Source organism: Homo sapiens, chromosome 15, assembly GCF_000001405.40.
Source record: "Homo sapiens chromosome 15, GRCh38.p14 Primary Assembly".
Lineage (NCBI taxonomy): Eukaryota > Metazoa > Chordata > Mammalia > Primates > Hominidae > Homo > Homo sapiens.
In genome coordinates, this window is record NC_000015.10 from 82084831 (window position 1) to 82110298 (window position 25468).

Consider the following 25468-nt stretch of genomic DNA (forward strand, 5'->3'; position numbering starts at 1 on the left):
ATAAACGGTGTGCTTCAGTTAATAATGATGTATCAATAGAACTGCATTAATTCTAACAAATGTACCATACTGGTATGTAAGATGTTAACAAGAGAAATTTGGTGAGAACACAAAGCAAGGTATATAGGAGTTGTCTTATCTGCTCAATTTTTCTGGAAATTTAAAACTGTTCTAAAAAACAACATCCATTAATTAAAAGAAGAAGGAGGAGGCGAAGGAGGGTTCATTCTTTCTTTTGACATGTCTCAATAAAGGGCTGGCCTGAGGGAGGCCGTGGACAACATGCCAGGTGAGGTGGGCTCAGACGAGGGAAGATGGGGTATCGTTATACACCTTATACACACCAAAGTTGTGGAAAGGTGGGCAGACCTCTGAGGGGAGCCAGGGAAAGGAGGCTGTGTCAGTGACCCAAGTCCACAGACTGTTTGTTTGCCTCATGTTCAACATCAACATACAAGGCGAAGCGTTTGGGGGCCGTTAAACGTAATTCAGCAAAGGAGGAAAATGTCTATGCCATTAATAACCATAATGCTCTTCTAAGGAAGGGACATCCTGTCCTATAAAGATCCTTTTGTTCAGCCAAGCACCTCCATGGATTCAGATATGCCTGGAGCCAAATTTGGAAGATAACAGGAGAGATTGGAAGAGAAGAGAGAGGAAAAATCTTGCAAAGTGGCAGAAGGCTGGGGGCTCCACAGATCAAAGGCAGTGAGAAGCCCTCCTGGGAGACTGGCTGAAAGGGTTTCTGCAACAGGACTCAAAGTGGTGGCTTTAAGTCGTTTGTGCTCAGTTCCATCACGTGAACTTACTTGGTGGCCCACAACTCATCAGTACACATTCTGCTGACATGACAGCCCAGGGCATCCCCATTTGCTGGGTTGGGAAGGGAAACAAGGCAAAGAGTTTATTTTGGTGCCTACTGGGGTAGAGATAAAGAAGCAACTGCAGGACACAGAGCAGGAAACAATAATTCAGTAGGTGAATTCACAGAAACTGGCTATTTGGTGAACGGAGATCCCCTGGGGGCCCTCTGGTACATCTTCGGAGAGAGTTGAGCCTTCCGTGTATCCTTCCTGGGAGGGTTTGCGTCGATCGAATAGAGAGCAGAGGCCAGGAGATACCAGCTGATCTGGGCTGGAGGACTCCAACTCAGTGCAAGGGGGACTGGGTCCATGTGGTCAGCATGGCTGGGTATTCTATGTTCATATGGGCCTGTGGCTTCTCTGGAGAAGATAGGAGCCTGGAACTTGCAAACACACAGCTCTCAGAACAGGCCAGGTGTGTTGGCTCACACCTGCAATCCCAGCAGTCTGGGAGGCCGAGGCAGGCAGATCACCTGAGATCAGGAGTTCAAGACCAGCCTGGCAAACATGGTGAAACCCTATCTCTACAAAAAATTAGCCACATGTGGTGGCGTGCACCTATAATCCCAGCTACTCTGGAGGCTGAGGTGGGAGAATCGCTTGAACTTGGGAGGCAGAGGTTGCAGTGAGCCGAGATCCCTCTACTGCAGTCCGGGCTGGCCGACAGAGTGAGACTCAGTCTCAAAAAAAAAAAAAAAAAAAAAAAACAACGAAAAGAACAGGCCCTGCACCTAGTAGGTCTTCAGCACACCCTAGTTCCTCTCCCACCATAACTCTGCCTAAAGAATGCACCAGCCTGGATGGGCCCAGAGAACACGGTGCCGTGCTGTTCCTGTATCTGGGTGCCTGTTTGCTGTTGCTGACAATCAGCTCTCGTGGGTAACAACTGAACACACTATTCACTAATTAACACCCCCTAGAAAACATCTGTTTTTCTTCTTTCTGGCTGATTTTTGAAAATGGAAATCACTAAGTAGCTAAACTGATCGTGTGTGTTGTGTGTGTGTTGTGTGTGTGTTGGCGGGGTGGGGAGTAGGAGAGGAGGGAGGTACCCAAGAACGACTCAATTTAAAATCCCCACCACCACCTGCACCACACTGATAACGGGCACAGGTTAGGCTTTCAGTAACTGGTGGCTATTGTTGCTGTTGTTAGGAGCCACTGGAGGGTTGGGATGGGAGATGGCAGGGGACAAACGCCAATGCTTCCATGTCGAAAGGTTTATCAGATGGGCAGCAAGAAGGACGGCAGAGAGCTCTGGGAAAGAAGGGGCCCTAGAGAATCAACAGTGGTTCAGAGGGGGTGGCGACAAGTCAAGGAGGTGGAGGAGGATCCAGGGCAGATAGGAGTGAAGATGAGATGGAAATGAGAGAGAGCCATGATTAGCGGACAGGGTCTCCAGGCAGCTGAGAAAGGGAGCATTTGTGCTGTTTGGTGCCAACCACAAAGCACAGGTGTGGTCTTACCAGCACCCAAAACAGCCCCTCGGGTCAGCACTTGGGTCACACTTCCTGAGGTTCAAAGCCCTTTTCATAGACTCTTCCCCTCCATGTACCTCTCTGTGCCTAATGACTTTTTACACATGTGGCTGCTAAGCCAGCCCCTGTCCTGGCCTGGATGCGGTTGTCAGCCTCATGGCAGCGCTCAGGCCCACCAAGGTATTTTCTAGATCCTAGCTCTGTCTTTCTGTATCTCATCCATCCAGCCCTCAGGGAATCTGTGAACTCTGTCCGCTGACAGTCAAAGAGCACCTCGTTCTCTGCAATGAGTTATTTTAAAAGATCCCCCAACTTTCAACTCCCAAGCAAAGAGGAGCCTGCCCTCCCAGGCTCATGTTGCTACTGTTCCCGAGACTGTGTGTTGCTGGGGTCAACTGCTGGTACCTGTCAGCTTGGTCCCCCTGCTCTGGGCCCGCCTCACTCAGTAAAGCTGGCTCCGGCAATCTTTTTCCATAGGGGCTGCAGCTGAGTGCTCTCCACCAACCCAGCAATCAACATCCTCACGACTCTTTCCAGGCCTTTCTTCCCTTTTCCATCCCAAAAATGAAAAGCCCTAATGGATCTTCTGGAAATTTTTTGGCTAGAGAGCTCTGCTTCCCACTTGTCCCCTGCAGAAGAAAAAAAAAAAAGCAACCCCATTAACCTTTGGGGTCAAATTGTCAGTAAGGAAAGCTCAGGCATTAGAAATACAGTGCTAGTCTCCTCCTGGCTGCAATATGTGATATCTAATATGTATCACATAGGCCGGGCACGGTGGCCACACCTGTAATCCCAGCACTTTAGGAGGCTGAGGCGGGAGGATCACTTGGGATCAGGAGTTCAAGATCAGCCCGGGCAAAATGGTGAAACCCTGTCTTACTAAAAATACAAAAAAAAATTAGCCAGGTGTGGTGGCAGGTGCCTGTAATCCCAGCTAATGGGGAGGCTGACACAGGAGAATTGCTTGAACCTGGGAGGTGGAGGCTGCAGTGTGCCGAGATGGCACCACTGCACTCCAGCCCAGGCTACAGAGCAAGACTCTGTCTCAGAAAAAAAAAAAAAAAAAAAAATATATATATATATATATGTGTGTGTGTGTGTGTGTTTGTGTGTGTGTGTGTGTGATGGATATGTAGTAATATCCGATATAATATGTAGCATATGATGTATAATACGTAACATATAATATGTAACTGTGTGTGTGTGTGTGTGCATCCGAGGAACTGGCATATACTAGGTTCTCAACAAATGTAACAAGAGTTATTTTTTAATTCAATCGAATATACTATACCACTTTTCTTTACAATAAAATTTTTCTACAACAAGAGAAATTCCAGCTCCCTGGCAGATCTATTATTATGCACTTTACTCATTGTGAGGAGTTCTTAAGTTCTAATGAGGTAAGGAAGTTCTACTTTAGTGAAAGAATGAAACTTCCTTACTGTTCACTAACCTACGTCTCAATTACCTCCCAACATGTTTGCAGCAAGTACCCTGTCGATGGTAGGCAAGAGGAAGGTGTGACCCACAAAGATCAAGGAATCTAAGCCGGCCAAGGTTTGCTTTTTTATAGCTCAACCTTCCCAACATTTAAAAGGAAGGCAAGTGGGGTCTAACCCATAGCCCACGCTGTTGGTCCTGCTCTTTGTTAGAGAATCAGTCTCACGTCCTCAATACCCTCTGTACTTTTCCAAAACCACCACCACCTGAATATATTTTTTTAGAACTTTTCTAACATTGAGCAATGGGGACACTGGGTATTGTCAGTTTTCTTAGATTTCAAAGGAAACTTTCAAGACATTCTCACAAGCGAAAAAGGGGAGGACGTGGAGGAGGTCAATGTGATTTCAATCCCATGGTTAGAAAAATTACGAAAGAGATAAGAACATAAAGGATACAGTTCTGACCATGGAGTGTCCTTCAGTCCTAATGATGGCGATGGAGGGTGGCATGGGAGTGGAATTGTCCATGGAAACACAGAGATTCTCAAGAGCATGGAGTAAGGGGCGGTGCCAGGACATCCAATCCAAGTTGCAATCTATAAGCCCGAAGCCTCGAGTCCCCTTTCCTTCAGTACCCAGATGTTCACAGGGATGTAATAGGAATGGTTCCATAATCCATGCTGGGAATACTAGGGGAAAATGCCCCAACTTCTTTGAAAACCCAAGGAGTGTCAGTCAGCAGGAACGGGTGCCAAAGAGTTGAAGAGAAAGATCCCCTACCCACCTGCCATTCTTCACTTTGGAAGGCCGATCCTGCCAGGAAGGAAGGGAAAGGACCCAGCCGAGTCCTTCTCCTGATCTTGACTCAAAAAATAAATGGAGGTTGGGCACAGAGGCTCACGCCTGTAATCCCAGCACTTTGGGAGGCTGAGGCAGGCAGATCACCTGAGGTCAGGAATTCGAGACCAGCCTGGCTGTCTCTACTAAAAATACAAAAATTAGCCGGGTGTGATGGTACAAGTCAAAAAAAAAAAAAAAAAAGAAATGGGATCCTGGAATCCTGAGTGGGGAGCAAATCTTAAACTCATGTTGCCTCCAATTGGTGCTTTGTAATCTGCTTTTGTAGCACGCATCATTGAGAACATCTCCCTATGTCCATAAATGTACGTCTACAACATGATTTTTAATTGTATGAATGTGCCATATTTTATTTAATCATTCCGCTAATACCAGACACAGATTTCCTCCTAATTTTTCACTATAATATATAGTGCTGCCAAAAGTCTGACAAAAATATCTTTGCCCATTTGTCTGATTAATTCCTTAAAAAAAACTACAAATGGAATTACTAGATAGGCACATTGATAAGACTACATTTAAAGGACCGTATTGCTAAATTTCCCTCCAGAAAAGGCGTAGCATCTTACAATTGCATCAGTGACATAGGAGAATGCCTGTTCTCCTCACATTCACTGAATGGGACTTGCCACTTAAGATAAAAATGCTTGCCCAAGTTTTTCAAAGTGTATATGCATATGTCCTTTGATATACGAACTGCTCTTTTAGGAGAGTACCCTAAGGAAACATTCATATGAGTTTACAAAGATATATGAACAAAGGCATGTAATGCAACAATGTGGTGAATAACTAGCCAGTTTCTGCTATAGAGTCCCTTTGGCTGCTGGCTAAGAGATATCCCATCTAAATCCTGTTACCTTGTCTTTATCAAGGATAGCACTAGTTTTCCCACTTCTTCATATTAGTATCGTTAGTGTCATTATTATTAGTATGTAGGTCTTAATTCTTTTCCTCACCCTCCATATTCAGATACCAAATAGCAATGTTTTCATTGAAATACCATTGGTATGCTTTGCACAGCCCTGCATTCCTGGGGCGGCCACCCTCACAGCCTTTGACCCCAGGCTCCCTTATTCAATCAATCAGACATATCACTGGCAAATCAATCTTTCTTTTTTTTTTTTTTTTTTTTTTCAGACGGAGTCTCGCTCTTTCGCCCAGGCTGGACTGCAGTGACGCTATCTCGGCTCACTGCAAGCTCCGCCCCCCGGGTTCACGCCATTCTCCTGCCTCAGCCTCCCAAGTAGCTGGGACTACAGGTGCCCGCCACTGCACCCGGCTAATTTTTTTTTTTTTTTTGTATTTTTAGTAAAGACGGGGTTTCACTGTGTTAGCCAGGATGGTCTCCATCTCCTGACCTCGTGATCTGCCTGCCTCGGCCTCCCAAAGTGCTGGGATTACAGGCGTGAGCTACCGCACCCGGCCGCAAATCAATCTTTCTTAAAAGCTGCTTGTAACACATCACATCTTGGCTCAAAAACTTTTAGAGATTCCCTATTTTTCACCATATGAAGTCACTGACCTGGTTCTCCATTAACATTACTCGGCTCTCTCTCCCTAACCCTTCCCCAGCCCTCCTTCCTCAGGCCCCAAGATTAGCATCTAAGAAGCCAGCATCCAATCTGTTAGCAAACAAACCACACCTGTGAACAACCTTGGCTCTCCCTCTCTCCCCGTCTCGTTTCCTCCCACCTCCACTCCTGGCCCTAGCCATTCTGGAAAGACCTGGAATACTTAGAGCATCTGAAGATCTGAAATGCAGGAAGGGAAGGCACTATGAAAAGCAGACATCCAATTCTGGGTGAGGCTTGACCTCCCTATCCTTGGTGCCCAAAGTTATCTTCATCCACTCAGCGTAGTTTCAGATTTCATTTCCTCACTCTGATAGTCCACCCAATTAGAAATTCATGTAGATGGGTCACAAATGTTCTTTTACATGTAAATACTTTCCAGAGGGTTAAGGTATGAAGAACTGAGAATGAAGCTCTTAGCTCAATCAGAGCTGACTTCAAACTCTAAGCAGCTATCCTGTGGACTTGGGGACTGGTGAGGGTACGCTGGGGTGCATGGTGGGCGAACAGTAAGGTTGCCTTTGCACAGCATGGAAGACCTAAGGGATATGATAGGGTGGGGGAGAGGAAGGGGCCCCCCAAAAGGGGTGGGGGAGGGGAAGGAGCCCCCCAAAAGAAAGCATAGAAAGCAAAGCAAAAGGATGCCAAAACTTATTTTGCTTACATCAAAATTTCACTTTACAGGTTAAGCATGAATCGAGGAAAGGAAACAGAAATCCTCTTCCTAGTCCTCTTTCCTCTGTTTTCTCCTCTGGGTACCAGAATTGCGACAGAGTGGGACAGCTCAGGCAGCTGCAGGTCTTGGCCAGTGCTCTTCCTCACCCAGGCCATGCAGCATCAACACAGTCACCGTAGAACTCCTCTTAAGACAAGCAAAGGAACTTTCCAACCCAGTTGAGTGCACTTTTCCCAAGTGTGTGGTAAAAAGTTAAATGACACTTTGTGAAAGGGATCCTTAAGCTACAAAAACATTTTCCCCCATCACACTAAGCACTTGGTTTTGTCCTTGTAGTTGCAAAAGGGGCTGGAGTCATTTGATGAATTCTGAATGTTGTAAGGCTGCTTTTCTGGAAGGGTAAACAGGGAACCTTTTAGATGCCAAGACCTTTTAGAATAACGACCCTTCAGAGGAAACTGAAGTGCAAAGGATTGAAGTAACCTTCCAGAAGGTACACAGCTGGTGAGACAAAGCCTGTACTGGGTCCCAAGCCTGCCTGACTCCGGACTCCCACACCCCACAGTGATACCAGAATCACCCTGAAAATGGGAAACATGCTGCAGCTGCTGTCCTGATTCCAGCCTCTGACCAGGAGAGCTGGATTGACCAGGAAGCCAATGAAGCTAAGTTTCAGGGCCCCCTGTCTGCCTAAGGCCTCTCCCAAGGCCCTGCACCAAAGTTTCTATTTGTGACTTTGTTTTCTTAGAAAAAACTCCTCAATTATGTGAATTCACCTCTGCTGACAAGTAACTCCTTAGAGGACGTGAGTTTTAGAAGGACAAGCTCCAAAAGCATCTCTAGATAGCCTCCAGAACCCTGCTGGTGTGACTCTTTTTGGAACTAGGTACAGAAAACCCCAGGCAGATGGACTGGCCTTTGGGGATTAAGGGAGATGTTCCAGAGCAGCTCAAATGATCTCTGGTGCCTGACTTTTGAACATCCAGTTTATAAACAAATCCAAAGTGGTTTCTTTCCTGTCTTCATTTGGGACCTTCTGTAGACTCCAAATCCCATTTGCATGACCCAGGCCCATCGATAACCTCCTCCCATTCAGTCCATTCTCTTGTGGGACTAGAAGCCTAAGGGGCATCTCCAGGTCAAGGAAAGGGGGCCGGGGAACGTGTAGAGGGAGGGACAGCAGGAGGAGAGAAAGATGTGTCTAAAGATCTGGAGTCAGAGATCATCATGTGTTGTGGACATTGGAACAAATTTGGTGTGAAGGAAGCTGAGACTGAGACTGGAGGGGCTGTCTTAGCCCATTTGGGCTGCAATAGCAAAAATGCCATAAACTGGATGGTTAATAAGCAACAGAAATTTCCTTTTTTTTTTTTGAGACGGAGTATCGCTCTGTTGCCCAGGCTGGAGTGCAGTGGCACCATCTCAGCTCACTTCAAGCTCTGCCTCCCAGGCTCAAGCCATTCTCCTGCCTCAGCCTCCCGAGTAGCTGGGACTACAGGTGCCCATCACCACGCCCAGCTAATATTTTTGTATTTTTAGTAGAGACGGGGTTTCACTGTGTTAGCCAGGATGGTCTCGATCTCCTGACCTCGTGATCCACCCACCTCGGCCTCCCAAAGTACTGGGATTGCAGGCGTAAGCCACCATGCCCAGCCCAGAAATTTATTTCTTACAGTTCTAAAGGCTGGAAAGTCCAAGACCAAGACACCAGCAGATTCAGTGTCTGGTGAGAGCCCACTCTCTGATTCACAGAAGGCTTCTTACTGTGTTGAAAAGGCAAGTGAGCTTTCTTGGGCCTTTTTGATAAGGGCACTAATCCTATTTGTGAGGGTGGAGTCCTCATGACCTAATTATTTCCCAAAGGCCCTACCTCTTAATACCATCACGTTGGGGTTTAGGATGTCAGCATATGAAATTTTGGGATGTGGGGCGGGGGGGTGGGGGATCCCCAGACAGCAGTCTGGCAGAGGGTAGAATATGAAGGGACTTTTACACCACGTTCAGGGGGGGTGTCAACTTTATCCCCCAAAATGAGGAGCAGCTTAAGCAAGGGAATGATATAAAGTAGTCCTCCCTTATCTGTGGTTTCAGTTACCCATGGTTCAGTGAGGTCCAACAATATTCAGTGAAAAATTCCATAAATAAACAACTGATACGTTTTGAATTGCATGCCGTTCTTAGTAGTGTGATGAAATCTCGCGCCACCCAGCTCCATCCTGCCCGGGATGTGAATCATCCTTTTGTCCATCGTATTCCTGCTGTAGACATGACTCAACCCACCCATCACTTAGCAGCCGTCTGGGTTATCAGATTGACTGTCATAGCGGCACAGTGCTTGTGTTCAAGCAACCCTTATTTTACTTCCCGATGGCCCCAAAGTGCAAGAGTAGCGACGCTGGTGATTCCGACATGCCAGAAAGAGGCTGCAAAGTGCTTCCTGTAAGCGAAAAGCTGAAAGTTCTCAATGTAATAAGGAAAGAAAAAGAAATCATATGCTGAGGTTGCTAAGATCTATGGTAAGAATGAATCTTCTGTTTGTGAAATCGTGGACAGTGTATTGTGTTACTTGTTCTGTTTTGGTGTTAGTTGTTGTTGTTACTCTCTTACTGTGCCTAATTTATAAATTAAACTTTATCCTAGGTAGGTTTGTATGTATAGGAAAAAACATGGTGTACGTAGGGTTCAGGACATCCACTGGGGGGTCTTGGAATGTATCCTCTGTGGATAAGGGAAGACTATTGTACTATTTTATTTCTCATTTGAGAAGACCACTCTGGCTACAGAATGGAGACTGTGGTTCAGTAAAGAACGTGGCCATGCCCTGCACCATGATAATGCTGGCCTACATCCAGGCAGAGGCAAGGTGATGGGAAAAGTGGATGGATTGGAGCACACTCTCACCACCGTGACCCCTGGAGTTTTTTGTGTTGAGAGGGATTCCAGGAACCAGTGTGTGGCTGGAGGGTGGCCAGTGGGGGAATTTCCACCTGCCGTCTCTACCTTCCCCTTCTCCCTTTAACCCGGGTGGCTCTACTTTGATATGTTCTGTGTGTTAGGGTACCACGCAAGTTTCTGTTTGAGAAGGAAAAGCCTATTTCTAAAAATAAGTTTGGAAAAACTATTGGTCTGGGGGAATATTCAGGAGATAGACTAGAAAGGACTTGGTGATTGTGCATGAGCAAGGGAGGGGAGGTGGGAAGAATGATAGGGGAGGAAGGGGTGCCATTCATTGAGTGGGGAAATGCTACAAGAGGATCCAGAATGGTGGGGTCGGGAGGGTGATGTGGAGTCAGTTCCAGACTTTTGCCCTGCGGGACCTCCAGAGTACACTGCCTGCTGGGCAAGGGGACCAGAGTGGGGAGAGGCCGTGGGGGGTGCTGGGGCAGGAGGATCTTGCGTGCCAGGGGGATGTGTAGTGGTAAGCTCCCTCCAGGGCCTCCTGAAGAACTCACATTTGGCCCCCAGGAGGAGTGGCCCTTGGACTCTGGCTACCAGAGGCATCCCAGCCAACTGGGAAACTTCAACAGCTTCAGGTGGATGAGAGAATGTAGTCTCCTTTCCTCTACTACCTCTACCCTCTGTCCTGACCTTGACCACTCAGAGGCAGAGGTGAGCAGAGGAGGGTAAAAGCAGAACATGCCATCTCCTTCCCCTCCCACCTCCTTCCAGCCTAGGCCAGGCAAAGACCAGGGCAAGGAGATGAGCTCTCCGTTAGATTGGAAATAAACACTGAAATCTAGACCAGATGTTTTCATACTAACAGGTACTCAGGGAGTTTTGAGATTTTCCAAGATGCCATCGAGGAACTGAAAAGTGCTGCCCAGCTGCAGTGAGGGCTTTTTAAAGGCAGTTTCATGTCTACACCCCACTGAGTTCAGACTGTCCAATGAAGCACTGACATTGTTACACATGCGTGTTGTGGACAACTTGAGAAAACACTTGTCTGCAGGAAGATGAAATTAAAATCAAGTGTGATCCTACCACCGAAAGATAAGTGTTACTGATATTTTTTGTTAATAACATTCCAGTTTTTTATGTAGTTTTGGGGTAGCTTATTATTTTCATGTGATTTCAAACTTGGAGAAAGTTTCCAAGATGAGTCCAAGGAGCTCTCATATGTTCCTCACCCAGATCCACCAACTGGCCACATTTTGTTCCATTTGCTTTATTATTCCTTCTACCTCTCTCTCTCTAAAGTATTATTATATGTTAAATATATCTTAATATAATTATAGTTATGTTAAATATATCTTAATATAGTTACAAATAATTATGTTAAATATATCTTAATATAATTATGTTAAATGATGTTATGAATATTAAAAATTATAATTTAAATAATATTCTAATATAGGCAGACATTTAGTTTCTGAACCATTTGGGACCATGCTGAAAACATCATTTTCCTTTACACCATTTTCCTTCAGTGCCAGAGGGGAACAGAGCAGTGAGAGGTTGTGGGGGGATCCTGGGCCAGGAGCATCCCCATTTCCTGGAATAAGATAGTTCTCTTAAATAACTACAGTACCAACATAGAAATCAGGAAATTTAGCATTGACACTATTAACTAATGCACAGCCCATAAACAAATCATATCAATTGTTCCAATAATTTGTGTTTGTTTGTTTGTTTTGTTTTTTTAGACGGAGTTTCACTCTTGCTGCCCAGGCTGGAGTGCAATGACTCAATCTCAGCTCACTGCAACTTCCACCTCCCAGGTTCAAGCGATTCTCCTGCCTCAGCCTCCCGAGTAGCTGGGATTACAGGCATATGCCACCACACCTGGCTAATCTTGTATTTTTAGTAGAAACAGGGTTTCTCCATGTTGGTCAGGCTGGTCTCAACCTCCTGACCTCAGGTGATCCGCCCTCCTCGGCCTCCCAAAGTGCTGGGATTACAAGCGTAAGCCACCGCGCCAGGCCCCAATAATGTTCTTTATAGCAATTTTATTTCCTGGCTGAGCATCCAGGCCAGCATCCCCCATTGCATTGACTTTTCAGGTCTCTTTAGTCTCCCTTAATCTGGAATTGTTCCTCAGTCTTTATCTTCCATGACCTTAGCATTTTTAGAGAATATAGTCCAGTTATTTTACAAGATGCCCCTCAACTGGGGGTTGTCTGACATTTCCTCATTATTAGATCCAGGTGTTGCATTTCGGGAATACAAAATCCCCAGAAGTGATGTTGTTTTCTCAGCATGTCATAGCAGGATGCAGATGAAGCGGGCCTGCCCCACCATGGGTGGTGTTAATGTTCACCACTTGGTTAAGGACAGAATTTTTTTTTTTTTTTTTTTTTTTTTTTTAGACAGGGTCTCGTTCTGTCGCCCAAGCTGGAGTGAAGTGGTGCAATCATGGCTCACTGCAGCCTCAAACTCCTGGGCTCAAGCAATCCTCCTGCCTCAGCCTCTTGAGTAGCTGGGACCACAGGCATGTGCCACCACACCTGGCTAATTTTTTGTGTGTGTGTAAAGACGGGGTTTCCCTGTATTGCCCAGGCTGGTCTTGAACTCCTGGGCTCAAGTGATCCTCCCACCTAAGCCTCCCGAAGTGCTGGGATTACCAGCATAAGCCACTGTACTCGGCTGAAGGACAGATATTTTTTAAGAAAATTCAGATCACACTGAATATGCTGTTTTATTAACTCCTTTTTCACTTACACTATTATAAAAATTTGGCTGGTTCTAAATATTCTTCTAAAGCATCATTTTTTTCTTCTTTTTTGAGACAGAGTGTCTCCCAGGCTAGAGTGAAGATTTCAGCTCAATGCAGCCTGGACCTCCTGGGCTCAAGCGAACCTTCTGGCCTCAGGCCCCCTGAGTAGCTGGGACTACAGACGTATGCCACCATGCCCTGCTAATTTTTTGTATAGACAGGGTTTCACCATGTTACTCAGGCTGTAGAAACATTTTAATAGCTGCATAATTTCCATGATGCACACCGTGTTTACTAATTATAACTCCTATGGTTTTGTCAAATTTCAACATTTTGTCAAGTTTTGCTACCATTAACAATGTCGCACAGAACATTTTTATAGATAATTCTTTATGTCCATCAGAGATTATTTCCTAAGGGTAAATTCCTAGAACTGGAATTGGCAGTTAAAGGTTACGCTTTTTTTTTTTTTTTTTTTTTTTTTTTTTTTGAGATGAGTCTCGCCCTGTTGCCCAGGCTGGAGTGCAGTGGCACGATCTCAGCTTACTGCAGCCTCCACCTCATTGGTTCAAGCAATTCTTCTGCCTCAGCCTCCCGAGTAGCTGGGACTACAGGTGCCTGCCACCATGCCCAGTTAATTTTTGTATTTTTAGTAGAGATGGGGTTTCACCATATTGGCCAGGTTGGTCTCAAACTCCTGACTTCATGATCCGCCCACCTGGGCCTCCCAAAGTGCTGGGATTACAGGTGTGAGCCACAGCCCCTGGCCCTGGTTATGCATATTTTTAAGGCTAAAAAGTGCCACTAGTAGGGCCCTGCCTCAAAAGCATTTTTCAAATTTCCGCTCCCCATCTTAGTGTGTGCAAGGGCCCATTTTGCCATCTGCCTCCCTCCAACATAGGGTTTGGTCATTTTCCAAAATCTTTTGTTGCTTTAATTTGTGTTTCTTTAATTAGAAAATTTGACTTTTTTTCCATATATTTTGAGCCATTTATGTAACTCCTTTTCTTGAGTTTCCTATTTATATCCTTCGCTTATCTTTCTGTTGAGTTTTCCTCTTTTGTTAAAACATATGTAGATTTCATGGTTACTACTGTATGAAAACTTTGTAAATTCAGCCGTGAGTTCTTTGCTGACTGAAGAGTTCTGTGCTTTTTGTTTTATTTTGTTTTAATTTCCAAATAGCATTTCCTTTATTGGATTTGTAATTAATTTTTCAAGTTATGTCTTCTAGAAAAAGAGCAGGACCTGGAAGCAGGAGAGTTGAAAGGTCAAGAGCACATGCTTTGGGGTCAGGCAGACCTGCTTCTGAGTCCTGGCTCTGCTAGGGGACTTTGGTAGGGGCGGGGGGCCCACGTCACTGGGTGTCCGTTTTCTCATCTGTAAAGTAGGAGATAATAGTAGGGTCCTGGTGAAGACTAAATGAGACACTGTGTGTAAAGGGCCTGCTGCATGGCCCTTAGTCAGCGTTGCTTGCGACGACGGTTGTTTCGTTATTGTCACTCAGTCGCCTGAGGGGAACATTCAGAGAGACTTATCGGCAGGACGTGTACAAAGAGGACAGAAGAGCAGATGCAGCCTCCAAGAATGAGCTGCTGAGGACGAGAGGTGGGTTTCTCAGGGAAGCTTGAGGGTGGGTCAGGTCCGTGGCTTGTTGTGCGGTGTCTAACATTGGCATGCTGCAATGATCCTTCTAGACGGTTAGTCACAGGACTGACACTGCTCTCAACCCTGCTAGGCTTGAAGTTAGGGTGTCTGAGTGGATACACAGTTGTCATTTTGATGGGTTCACTTTCTATGCTGCACAGATGACATTTTCCTTTGGCGACATTCAACAGCTTCTTAAGGTTCCTAGACGTAGATCTGCAGCTGTGGACTTGGAGTTTTAACCTAAGTCAATGAGCACTTATGGGCCTCTAAGTGGGGAATGAACTTGGAAAACACTGAACCTAGTGTGCAGCACATAGTAGGTACTCATCTGCAAGCTACCTCCCTTTCTCCCTCCCTCTCTCCCTCCTCACCCTCTTCCTCAGGGATGCAGCCAATGACCTGAAAGAGCGTGAGCCAACGTCTGTCCAAGCTCTGGTCCTGCTTCGTGCCTGCCCTGTGATACTGGGCAAGTTGCTCATCCCTGGACTTCTTTCTCCTCCATAAAACACGGCTTTGGGAGCAACTTGCTCTCCAAGGGCCATTCCAACTCTAACATTATAATTTTATCATATGGGATTTGGCATAATTGGTTATCTCTGAACACTTACACTTTTTTTTTTTTTTTGAGATGGATTCTTGCTCTGTTGCCCAGGCTGGAGTGCAGTGGTGCAATCTCAGCTCACTGCAAGCCCCACCTCCCGGGTTCACGCCATTCTCCTGCCTCAGCTTCCCGAGTAGCTGGGACTACAGGCGCCCTCCACCAGGCCCAGCTAATTTTTTTTTGTATTTTTAGTAGAGACAGGGTTTCACCATGTTAGCCAGGATGGTCTTGATCTCCTGACCTCGTGATCCGCCCACCTCGGCCTCCCAAAGTGCTGGAACACTTATACTTTTAAGGTATTTGTACACATACACGAAGCAAAACAAGAGGCAGGAGGTGCAAACAGCCCCACGAACAAATGGTCCAGGGTGTTTAGGAGAAACCCCGCACCTTGAACCTCTCTTCTCACCCAACCTGCTTTCCAGACCTTCCTTCCCTCCTGGCTAAATGCCCTGTAGAAGCACTAATGTGTCTATGTGCCTCTGGAAGCCAGGCTTTCCCTGGAAGCACAGCTGTAGTAGCTGACTACTCATAAGACCCTAACTATGCTGATGTTGATGGAAAGGGCTGAATTCTTTGAAGCCTCATGGTGGAAATTTAAAGAAAATAATGTGAGAGCGTCACAGACAACTGCACATTCACCACCACAAATGGTGCCATCCCAGAGACAAATATGTAATAGTTCAGAACTTGGGAAAATGGCCCAGGATCGAGCCATGCTAAGAATGGGAGCAATTTGGCTGATACATGGCTGCCCTGTGCTCCAGCAGGGGAAAAAAAAGGTTCTAATTACCCAGCCGCAATCCTGTATTTAGATGTAAAAGGGAGGAAATAGCTGAGCTCTGTTCTAGTCACAGATATGCCAAACGGGTCAAGAGAAAAGCCTTCTGCCCAGACCACTGCTGAGCCCACGGCTGGCCTGGGCCCAGGCTACTCAGCCGATGAGCTTCAGATGGACCTCCAGAAGGCCACAGCGGCCCCACTTTATCCTCTGCCTATTTTGCCAGGACATCAGCCTCAGACAATTTCCTCCTCAAAGTTTCTTCACTCTCTTTGGTGTTCTGTTTCATGCAAATCTGTTGGGGATGGGAGGAATTAAGGACAGCGAGATCAAATGACAACCCCTGCCTCCTCAGTGATTAAAAAAAATCAGAGCTCACCCATATGGCAGCGGCATTTCTGACCTGGTCCAGCATTCCTCCCTCACCCTGTGCTTTCTGAAACTCTCATGCATCTTCCGAATGTCACCTGCTGCCATGAGGTCAGCATGGACGAGGGTCAGCGTGGATCTCCAGTTCTACTAGGCTGCCAAAGTAGCAGAGACAAGCTTCAATCCGAAGATATTTACGACCTGACAAATACCCCATCTCAAGAACTTACAGAAACCTCAGCATGGACAGCCTGGAGTGAAAGGATGCTTACTTCCTAGGAAGGGCATTTCTGCTTGGGAAATGCTCAGCTGTGCCTCAGTTTCCCTTAGTCTTCCTCTGAGCTGCAGGTAATTGAGACTGAGAGGCTTTCCACACTTCCCAGAAGGGGCAGACTTGATGGTGCTTCCTATCTCCACGCAAGAGCAACTATTGTGGATCCTCACCTCCGACAGTGCTGATGGAAACACCCACAACTGCTCGCAGCGGGTCTGGGCTTTCCTAGTCAATCATTTTACTTTCAGGGCGTAGAGGTAGGAGAATGAAACAGATTGCACAGCACTGGTGAAAAGAAAAGGAGAAATTCAGGGAGGAGGAATGAGGGATCCTCTTTCTTGTGTGTGGGTGTTAGCTTGCCTCCCAACCACACTGACACTTGCTGTGCCATTGATTTGACTTTTCTCCTATCTTAACAATAACAAATCATTAAAAAATCAGTTTATCAAAATATAAAATGGAAATACATGTGCTTGTGGTATTTTCCCCTTCCCACAGCCTAGCAAAGCAAATCCCATCTCTGGTCACTGTCCCCCTGCCCTTCCTTCGTTGGGAGCTCCTGGGTCTGCCATCTTGGTTCCTGAGCTTCTTCTCTTCTGACAAAACATGATTCTGCTCGGGTTCATGTTATTCTCCTGCCTCAGCCTCCCGAGTAGCTGGGACTACAGGCGCCCGCCACCAGGCCTGGCTAATTTTTTGTATTTTTAGTAGAGACGGGATTTCACCGTGTTAGCCAGGATGGTCTCGATCTCCTGACCTCGTGATCTGCCCGCCTGGGCCTCCCAAAGTGCTGAGATTACAGGCATGAGCCACCAGGCCCGGCAAAGCTGATTTATTAAATACTTAATTGCATTTAGAAAGGAGCAGGAAAATTGTTTATAGGGGAAAAAGAAGAGATTGAGAGTGGGAGTGGGAAGAGAAGGGAGGGAGTGACAGGCCAACCGGAGTTGGGTTCAGAGAGAGTTTCTCTTTTGTGCTGAGGTGAGAAATTGAGAACGAAAGAGAGGCACTGTTTTTTTTTTTAGACGGAGTCTCGCTCTGTCACCCAGGCTGGAGGAAAGAGAGGCACTTTAAGGTGGCTTTGGGATGTGAGAGTCGTGAAGAGCCACCGTAGTAGGAAAACAGGATGTATGGGTTGTGAACCTCTCCTTCAACAGTCTGTGAGGGTTCTCAGTAAAGATGTGGAAAGAAAACTCAACCTCTGACCAATAACGCTCATCAAAAGCCACCTCCAGAAAAATCTTTAAAATGATTTCCTGGCAACCTCCCATGTCTCTGAATTCCCAGTAGGTTAAGTCCCATCTCAGTCCCTAGAGTATAATAATCTCTTCAAAAGTGACCCACGGCCTTGTGGCATTGGGCTGGGGCTGGGTTGAGCAAGGAGGCCTGCTGCCTGCATGCTCCACCAGTTCCTCATGGCCTGGGTAACACATCCAGGAGAGCTGAGCCTCCAGAAAGTGTGTCCTCAGTGAGCTTTGGAACCACTGTTAGGCAGATCAGGAATAAGAGCAACAACAGTAATAATAAAGGGCGCTTATGATGTGCTAGGCATTGGGCTAAAGGCTTTACTCTCAGATCTCAGTCCTTACAAAAGCCTGGAGGCAGGGATATTATCTCCTCTTACAATGAGGAAATTAGGGCTCAGAGATGTTGAGTGGCTTGTCCAAGTTCACCCAGCTTGTAGATGGTGACATCAGGATTCAGACATTGAACTCTCTGACTCTAGTTTCCAATTCCTTATTCATTTTGACACAGGAGCACACCCATCCCATATCTGTTTCTTGGTGTGACAGAGGAGGAGGCCCAGGCACACGCAGATTAAATCACAGTCCCACGGTTACACAATCAATGATTGGTGGAGATTGGACTAGAACCCCTGCTTCTTGGCAGTTGCAGGAATAGCCTGCGGTCTGAGGGCCCTGAGCACCCGAAGAGAGTGGCCTCCTTTGTAATCCCAGCACTTGGGGAGGCCAAGGAGGGCAGATCACGAGGTCAAGAGATTGAGACCATCCTGGCCAACATGGTGAAACCCTGTCTCTACTAAAAATACAAGAATTAGCTGGGCGCAGTGGCATGCCCCTGTAGTCCCAGCTACTTGGGAGGCTGAGGCAGGAGAATTGTTTGAACCCGGGAGGTGGAGGTTGCAGTGAGCCGAGCTCACACCACTGCCCTCCAGCCTGGTGACAGAGGGAGACTCTGTCTCAAAAAAAAAAAAAAAAAAAAAAGTGACCTCCCTGAGGGGAGAGGAGGCAGGGACCATTCTCCAAAAGGGGCATCTGTTCTATGACTGCTCTTTATGACCAAGTGGAGATTGTTAGGAGAGCACAGAAAAGAGGCTAGAGGAAGTGAGGAACTCAGAGACAGTAGAGAAAGCAGGCAGAGGATGGAAGCTGTCCTAAGTGATCAGATCCCAACCCAGCCACGCCTGGCCCCTGACTGTTTCAGGACCTGCTGTGAGAGCTCCTGAAGCTGCTGTCCTCAGGAAGTGTCACCTGAACAAATTGGCCACCAGGGAACATTACTGAAAGAGCTTGCCCAAACAGATCAATACTTAATTTCTAATGAGCAATTTTCAATTAGATCCTTGATTTGACTGATGTCTGATCATTCGCCTGTAACCACTGCAGGTCTTTTGCTCCCCTCGGTGGCCAAAATGCAGCAGATGATACAGCCATGATAACCTGAGTGTTCTATCCCATAGTCTCAGCCAAATCGAAAGGCTTAGGGCAGTGGTTCTAAACGCGGGTGAGTTTGCCCTCAAGGGGATGTTGCACAGTGTCTGGGGATATTTTTGTTTGGCACAGCCAAGGGGTGTTACTGGCACACAGCGAGTAGAGTTCAGGGATGCCACCAAACATCCTACAATGCACAGGACAGCCCCACAACAAAGAATTATCACCCCGAAATGTCCACAGTGCTGAGGTTGAGAGGCACCGCCTTAGGGCCTCCTCTGTTTGTCGATCACAGTTACCTCGGTGATCGTCTCCCTGATCGTCTCCAACCAAACGCACTCTTAGAAGCATCCCCGCTCAGGCCACACCCACACTCACATGCTCACATGCACACACACCCCTTCACAGCATTCATCACCTACAATAATGCAGACCGAACCCTGCAACTGTTTTTGTTTTGCTTTGTTTGTTTTTGAGACGGAGTCTCGCTCTGTCTGTCGCCCAGGCTGGAGTGCAGTGGCGTGATCTCGGCTCCCTGCAAGCTCCGCCTTTCCGATTGACGCCATTCTCCTGCCTCAGCCTCCCGAGTAGCTGGGACTACAGGTGCCCACCACCACGCCCAAGCTAATTATTAGCCCAGGCTAAAAAAATTAACCAGGCTAATTTTTTTGTATTTTTAGTAAAGACGGGGTTTCACCGTGTTAGCTAGGATGGTCTGTATCTCCTGACCTCGTGATCCACTCAGCTTGGCCTCCCGAAGTGCTGGGATTACAGGCATGAGCCACGGTGTCCAGCCAAACCCTGCAGCTGTTTAAGGCCCTACAACCCCTGGGCCCACATGCTTTCCAACATTTTCCCCCATTTCACTCCACTCTCTGAACTGCTGTCCCTACCCTGGTGACTCTCAAACTGGAGCATGCAAGAGAACCACCAGGAGGATTTGCGAAAAAGGCAGGTTGCTGGGCTCCATCCCCAGAGTTTTTTGATTCAGCCCAATTTGCATTTCTTCAGACGATGCTGAGGCCACTGGTCTGGGGACCAGACTTTCAGAATGGCCATCCCACAATAACTTGCCCTCTTCACCTCTGATCTTGGCCCCCAGCTGCTGCTCCTGCCTAGAGTACCTTTGTGCTCACATCTGAGTTCCATCTTTGGGGTCTGATTCTAGTGCCACCTCCTCCACTAGGTTGTCTCTGATGCCCAAGTGGAAGAAATATCTCAGCCGCTGCCCTCTCTCAGCACTGCTCACCCCTCTGTAGCCATTCTTTTCTTCTTTCATTGACAATGTATTATTATTATTATTATTATTATTATTATTATTATTATTTTGAGACAGAGTCTCACTCTGTTTCCCAGGCTGGAGTGCAATGGTGCAAGCTCGTCTCACTGCAACCTCTGCCTCCCAGGCTCAAGCCATTCTCTCACCTCAGCCTCCCAAGGAGTTGGGATTACGGGCACGTGCCACCGTGGTGGCTAATTTTTGTATTTTTAGTAGAGACAGGGTTTTACCATGTTGGCCAGGCTGATCTTGAACTCCTGACCTCAAGTGATCTGCCCTCCTTGGCCTCCCAAAGTGCTGGGATTACAGGCATGAGCCACAGCCCTCAGCCTCACTGACAATTATTTTAAATCATGCTTTACCAATCAGGCACACACACGAGGAGGATCTGGAGAGGGTTTAATGACAGGGACTATTTACAAAGGTGTGGGCAGAATTAAGGGACATTAACCAGGATGACGAAGCACCCCAGAGCTGTTAGAAGTCAAAGCTACCCTGAGGACTAGGGACAAGAAGGAGCAGGCACTAGAACCAGGAGAGGGTCACCTGACTGGAGCTGTGGCCTTGGGAAAAGAAACACAGAGGTTGCCAGGTGACAGCCTTGCAGGTAGGGAGCTGGGGGAATAACCACCCTGGCCTCGCTCTCCTCCTGCCCTCTGATGTACTGTGGGTGCCTCCCACTGGCTGAGCCCAAGAAAACAGAGGGTAGAGAAACCTCATGATGCTGCCCACACAGGCCAGCCTCCTGGGGCTCAGAGCAGGTAGAGAAGGGCACAGAGAGATCTTGTGGGGCAAACAAGGTGTCCCCAGCGCCCCACCTTCCTCCCGACTACCCAATCCTAGAGCACAGAACCTATGTCAGAATTGCCCCCGAATCCATGACAAGCCCAGGACCTTGTATCATATAACAGATTATTAATAAATATTTGAGGAATGAATCATTTATCATTAGCTGGTGTGCATGTCTGCTGATGAATTTTCAGACATTTTGTGGAATTCGGTCACTCAGAATATTCTAAGAATGTTCCCAGCACTACAGGAAAACCTGCCAGCCAAGGCCCCATGACATGGCTGGGAAAACCAGCTTGTCATATTTCCCAACTCCAAACACCAATTTCTCACTTATCTATCACTTTGTCGTTCAAAACAAACAATAGAAAGTAAGGAACAGTGATTTTCTCAGCTTTCAAGCAATCAAAGAAAACACCAAGGAAAGGAATCAACAACAGGAGTATCAATTTTTTATAAGTGAAATATAACCAAACTGAAATGAAAGGGGGAACAGTGAAACTGAAGTACTGGGAAGTTAAGCAAATTGCGCAGGTTCTTCTATCCAGAATTTAAATCCAGATCTGCTTAGTCAAATCCAATTCTCACTAGAAAATAGATAGTTAGGCCGGGCGCGGTGGCTCACGCCTGTAATCCCAGCACTTTGGGAGGCCGAGGCGGGCGGATCACGAGGTCAGGAGATCGAGACCATCCTGGCTAACACGGTGAAACCCCGTCTCTACTAAAAATACAAAAAATTAGCCGGGCGTGGTAGCGGGCGCCTGTAGTCCCAGCTACTCGGGAGGCTGAGGCAGGAGAATGGCGTGAACCCGTGAGGCGGAGCTTGCAGTGAGCCGAGATCGCGCCACTGCATTCCAGCCTGGGCGACAGAGCGAGACTCCGTCTCAAAAAAAAAAAAAAAAATAGTTAAGAGTCAAAACACGAATCACCGTAAAAACTCAGATTCAATGACTGTACAAGTGCCATTTTAACCTACAAAATGAGCAAAGCACTTTTTAATAAGTATTATGAGGAACTTCCACTGCTGAGGAGGCACTGGTGAAAGGTGTACTCCCATAGCTGGCGCCATGAAGGATGCTTTCATATACATGACTCAGAAGCACCTAGGAGTGGCTTCCTCCAAAGGATTGGAGTGAGGGTGGGGTACAGCATCCATCAGCTGACTGGGTTTATCAGAGACGGGATACAGTTCTGTTGAAGACTTGGGACTGTGTGCCTCAGGGTCTAGAGCCCAGACAGAGGGCACTGCTGCATTCAGAGCTGTTTCCTTTCCCAGAAGTCTCGCTTCATCTGCTCCCAAGCCAGGCTTTCACTGACCTGGCCATGGCTGGTCCCAGGAGTGACAGACATTGAGCAGGTGGAGTGAGGTAGCAGGGGTGGAGGAGCCACCTTGAGAGCATTACACCCCACCACAGGCTGGAGAAGTTCCCTGCCAGGAATGCCAGGCACTGCAAGGGGTCTCTAACCTTCCCCATCTGGACTTCTGGAAGCAACACAGGGGCTGAGTACATTCACTCCCTCTCTGTTATCTCCCTGCTTGATGCTGCCTCTTTTTCTTTCTTTCTTTTCTTTCTTTCTTTCTTTCTTTCTTTCTTTCTTTCTTTCTTTCTTTCTTTCTTTCTTTCTTTTCTTTCTTTTCTTTCTTTTCTTTCTTTCTTTCTTTTCTTTCTTTTTTCTTCTTTCTTTCTTTTCTTTCTTTCTTTCTTTTTCTTTCTTTCTCTTTCTTTCCTTCCTTCCTTCCTTCCTTCCTTCCTTCCTTCCTTCCTTTCCTTCCTTTCCTCCCTCCCTCCCTCCCTCCCTCCCTTCCTCCCTTCCTTCCTTCGTTCCTTCCTTCCTTCCTTTCCTTCTTGCTTTCTTGCTTTTTTGAGATGGAGTCTTGCTCGGTCACCCAGGCTGGAGTGCAGTGGCGCGATCTCAGTTCACTGCAACTTCCCCCTCCCAGGTTCAAGCAATTCTCGTGCCTCAGCCTCCCCAGCAGCTGAGACCATAGGCACGCACCATCACACCCAGCTAATTTTTGTATTTTTTAGTAGAGAAGGGGTTTCACCATGTTGGCCAGGCTGGTCTCGAACTCCTGACCTCAAATGATCTGCCCGCCTCAGCCTCCCAAAGTGCTGGAATTACAGGCGTGAGCTACCATGCCAGGCCTGTGTCACCCCTTTATTCAGCAGACTACAGTCCTGTGTTTCAATCCCACCTCTGCCACTTTCACTCTATTTGGTCTCAGGCAGGTCACTTAAACTCTCATCTCCCTCCTCTGCAAACATGAGTACCTGCCTCACAGTTCTTTTTTTTTTTTTTTTTTTTTTGAGGTGGAGTCTCGCTATGTCGCCCAGGCTGGAGTGCATGGTACGATCTCAGCTAACTACAACATCCATCTCCCGGGTTTAAGTGATTCTCCTCCCTCAGCCTCCCGAGTAGCTGGGACTACAGGCATGTGCCACCATGCCCGGCTAATTTTTGTATTTTTAGGAGAGACGGGGTTTCACCATGTTGGCCAGGCTGGTCTCAAACTCCTGACCTCAGGTGATCCACCCGCCTTGGCCTCCCAAAGTGCTGGGATTACAGGTGTGAGCCACCGCACCTGGCCCTGCCTCACAGTTCTATCATGAAACAACATACATGAAGTGTATAGCAAGGGCCTAACACATTACAGGGACTTCATAAGTATGAGTTTCCTCTCCCACCCCGTCCTTATTTTTATCCTGTCAACAAATTAGGGCGAAAGCACCTCTGTAGGTCTTCATTTTACGTGATAAGGCCCACCTTTTTGGGTCTTTAACTTCCCTCACATTTTTCTGATAGGGCCAAGTGGCTGTTGCTGGCAGCTGCTTCCAGCTCATGAAGTCAGCCAGGGGCCAGGCAGGGCAGTACGGCAGGGCTCCACCAGAGGGGAGCAGAGAGCTGGGGCTGGGGCTGGGGCTGCGCAGGTGAACCTCAGCGGCAGAAAGGAGGCAGATGTGGCACATGGGCTGGGGGAGATCTCCGGGCTCTATCATTAGAGGCTGAAGGTTTGGGGGTGTGGACTGGTGTCACTCAACTGAGGACCCCAGAGGCAAAGTCTTACATGAGGGTGAGTCTTGAGTTAAACAGGAAGTATTCCAGAGAGTCTAGGAGAAACCTTCTTTAGACAAGGGAATGATCACAATAGCTGCTATTGATTGAACGCTTTGCTCTAGTAAGGATACGATCTTGGGGGATCTTAAGTCAGTATATTTTTATCCAGGGTGATGGCTAGTGCCAAGCCGAGTAGGCCCCAGCCCTAAAGTTCTTCTAGAATGTAGAGAAGACACCCTAGCAGTCAAGGGGATTGCAGCCTAGGGAAGGGAAGGGAAGGGCATTGAGTAAGAGGAGATTCTCCCAGACGGGAAGGAGAAGTAGAAATCCTGCTATTTCCCTTTGATGGACCATGGAAGGGAGAGGGACAGAGGAGGAGAAGCAATGGCTGAGACACAGGCATCGTGGCTTCCTCAGCCAAAGTCCCAGGATGTGGTGGGGTGGGGTGAGGATGTCTTTTTTTTTTTTTTTAAAGACGGAGTCTCGCTCTGTCGCCCAGGCTGGAGTGCAGTGGTGCAATCTCCGATCATTGCAAGCTCCGCCTCCTGGGCTCACGCCATTCTCCTGCCTCAGCCTCCCCAGTAGCTGGGTCTACAGGTGCCCGCCACCAAGCCCGGCTAATTTTTTCGTCTTTTTAATAGAGACAGGGTTTCACCATGTTAGCCAGGATGGTCTCGATCTCCTGACCTCGTGATCCGCCCGCCTCGGCCTCCCAAAGGGTTACGATTACAGGCGTGAGCCACCGCGCCCGGCCTAGGATGTCTTGAGGTGACGCCACCAGTGGAGGGGCTTGTGCATGTCATCTGGGCTGGGACTCTGGGTACAGACCCCCTTGTATGGAGCTGCCATGTTTACACGGAGCAGCCAGAATCAAATGGAGACCCGACCCAGTGGGGTGGAGAGGTCTGGGTTAGAGCTCCACAGCTTTCCCTTGGCATGGAAAGGGCCAGAAGAGCCAGTGGAAGGGACCTGCCATGCTAAGGGGCGAGGTGACCCCATGATGAAGGCCACAGAGTGTTTAACTTAGTAAGGGTCAGGTGGAGGGTGCATCTGAAGCTCAGAAGGCCGAGCAGAGCAGTGAGGAGCTGGGATGGGGCAAGTCGGCAAGGGAAGAAGACAAATTTCAGGTTCATCTCCATACTCCGGGAGAGAAAAGCCAGAAGTAGCCCATGGACCAGGCGTCTCTGCCTCTACCTCCTGCACCTTCTCCAGTTCCAGCCACTCCCGTTCCCCCTTCACTGCAGCCACACCAGACTCCAGCCCTCAGTGCTGCCTTGCTGCCTTTGGCCACAGGCCTCCGCACCTCCCTTCTCTCCTCCTGTCACACTCAGCTTCCTAGATCTTCTTGGCTTGGTCATTTTCCTCTCTCTCATACTCTCTTTTATAATGCTACTCATTTTCTTTGGTTGTAACTTCTGCATTTATCTTTGCAGTTCTTTAACACCTGCTTCCTTG

At 47.5% G+C, this 25468-nt stretch overlaps 2 long non-coding RNA genes across 2 annotated transcripts, besides 2 other annotated features; both read left to right on the plus strand.

Annotated features, from left to right (window-relative positions):
• Positions 1–3763: 3763 nt before the first annotated feature.
• LINC01583 (long intergenic non-protein coding RNA 1583) lies at positions 3764–12864 on the plus strand. The gene is made up of 6 exons (NR_120367.1): positions 3764–3898; positions 6897–7774; positions 8564–8664; positions 9153–9404; positions 10652–11606; positions 12618–12864. It is a non-coding gene; the product is annotated as a long intergenic non-protein coding RNA 1583 (long non-coding RNA).
• Positions 11752–14842, plus strand: LOC105370924 (uncharacterized). Its single transcript, XR_932532.1, has 3 exons — positions 11752–11790; positions 14049–14149; positions 14575–14842. It is a non-coding gene; the product is annotated as an uncharacterized LOC105370924 (long non-coding RNA).
• Positions 15622–16134: an enhancer, noted in NCBI's record as "NANOG-H3K4me1 hESC enhancer chr15:82392793-82393305 (GRCh37/hg19 assembly coordinates)". NCBI's record gives its function as "activates a minimal SCP1, AML or CMV promoter by ChIP-STARR-seq in naive H9 embryonic stem cells {active_cell/tissue: H9 hESC(naive)}" and the evidence as "EXISTENCE:reporter gene assay evidence [ECO:0000049][PMID:30033119]".
• Positions 23845–23924: a silencer, noted in NCBI's record as "silent region_6747". NCBI's record gives its function as "represses an Ori minimal core promoter by ATAC-STARR-seq in GM12878 lymphoblastoid cells {active_cell/tissue: GM12878}" and the evidence as "EXISTENCE:reporter gene assay evidence [ECO:0000049][PMID:35858748]".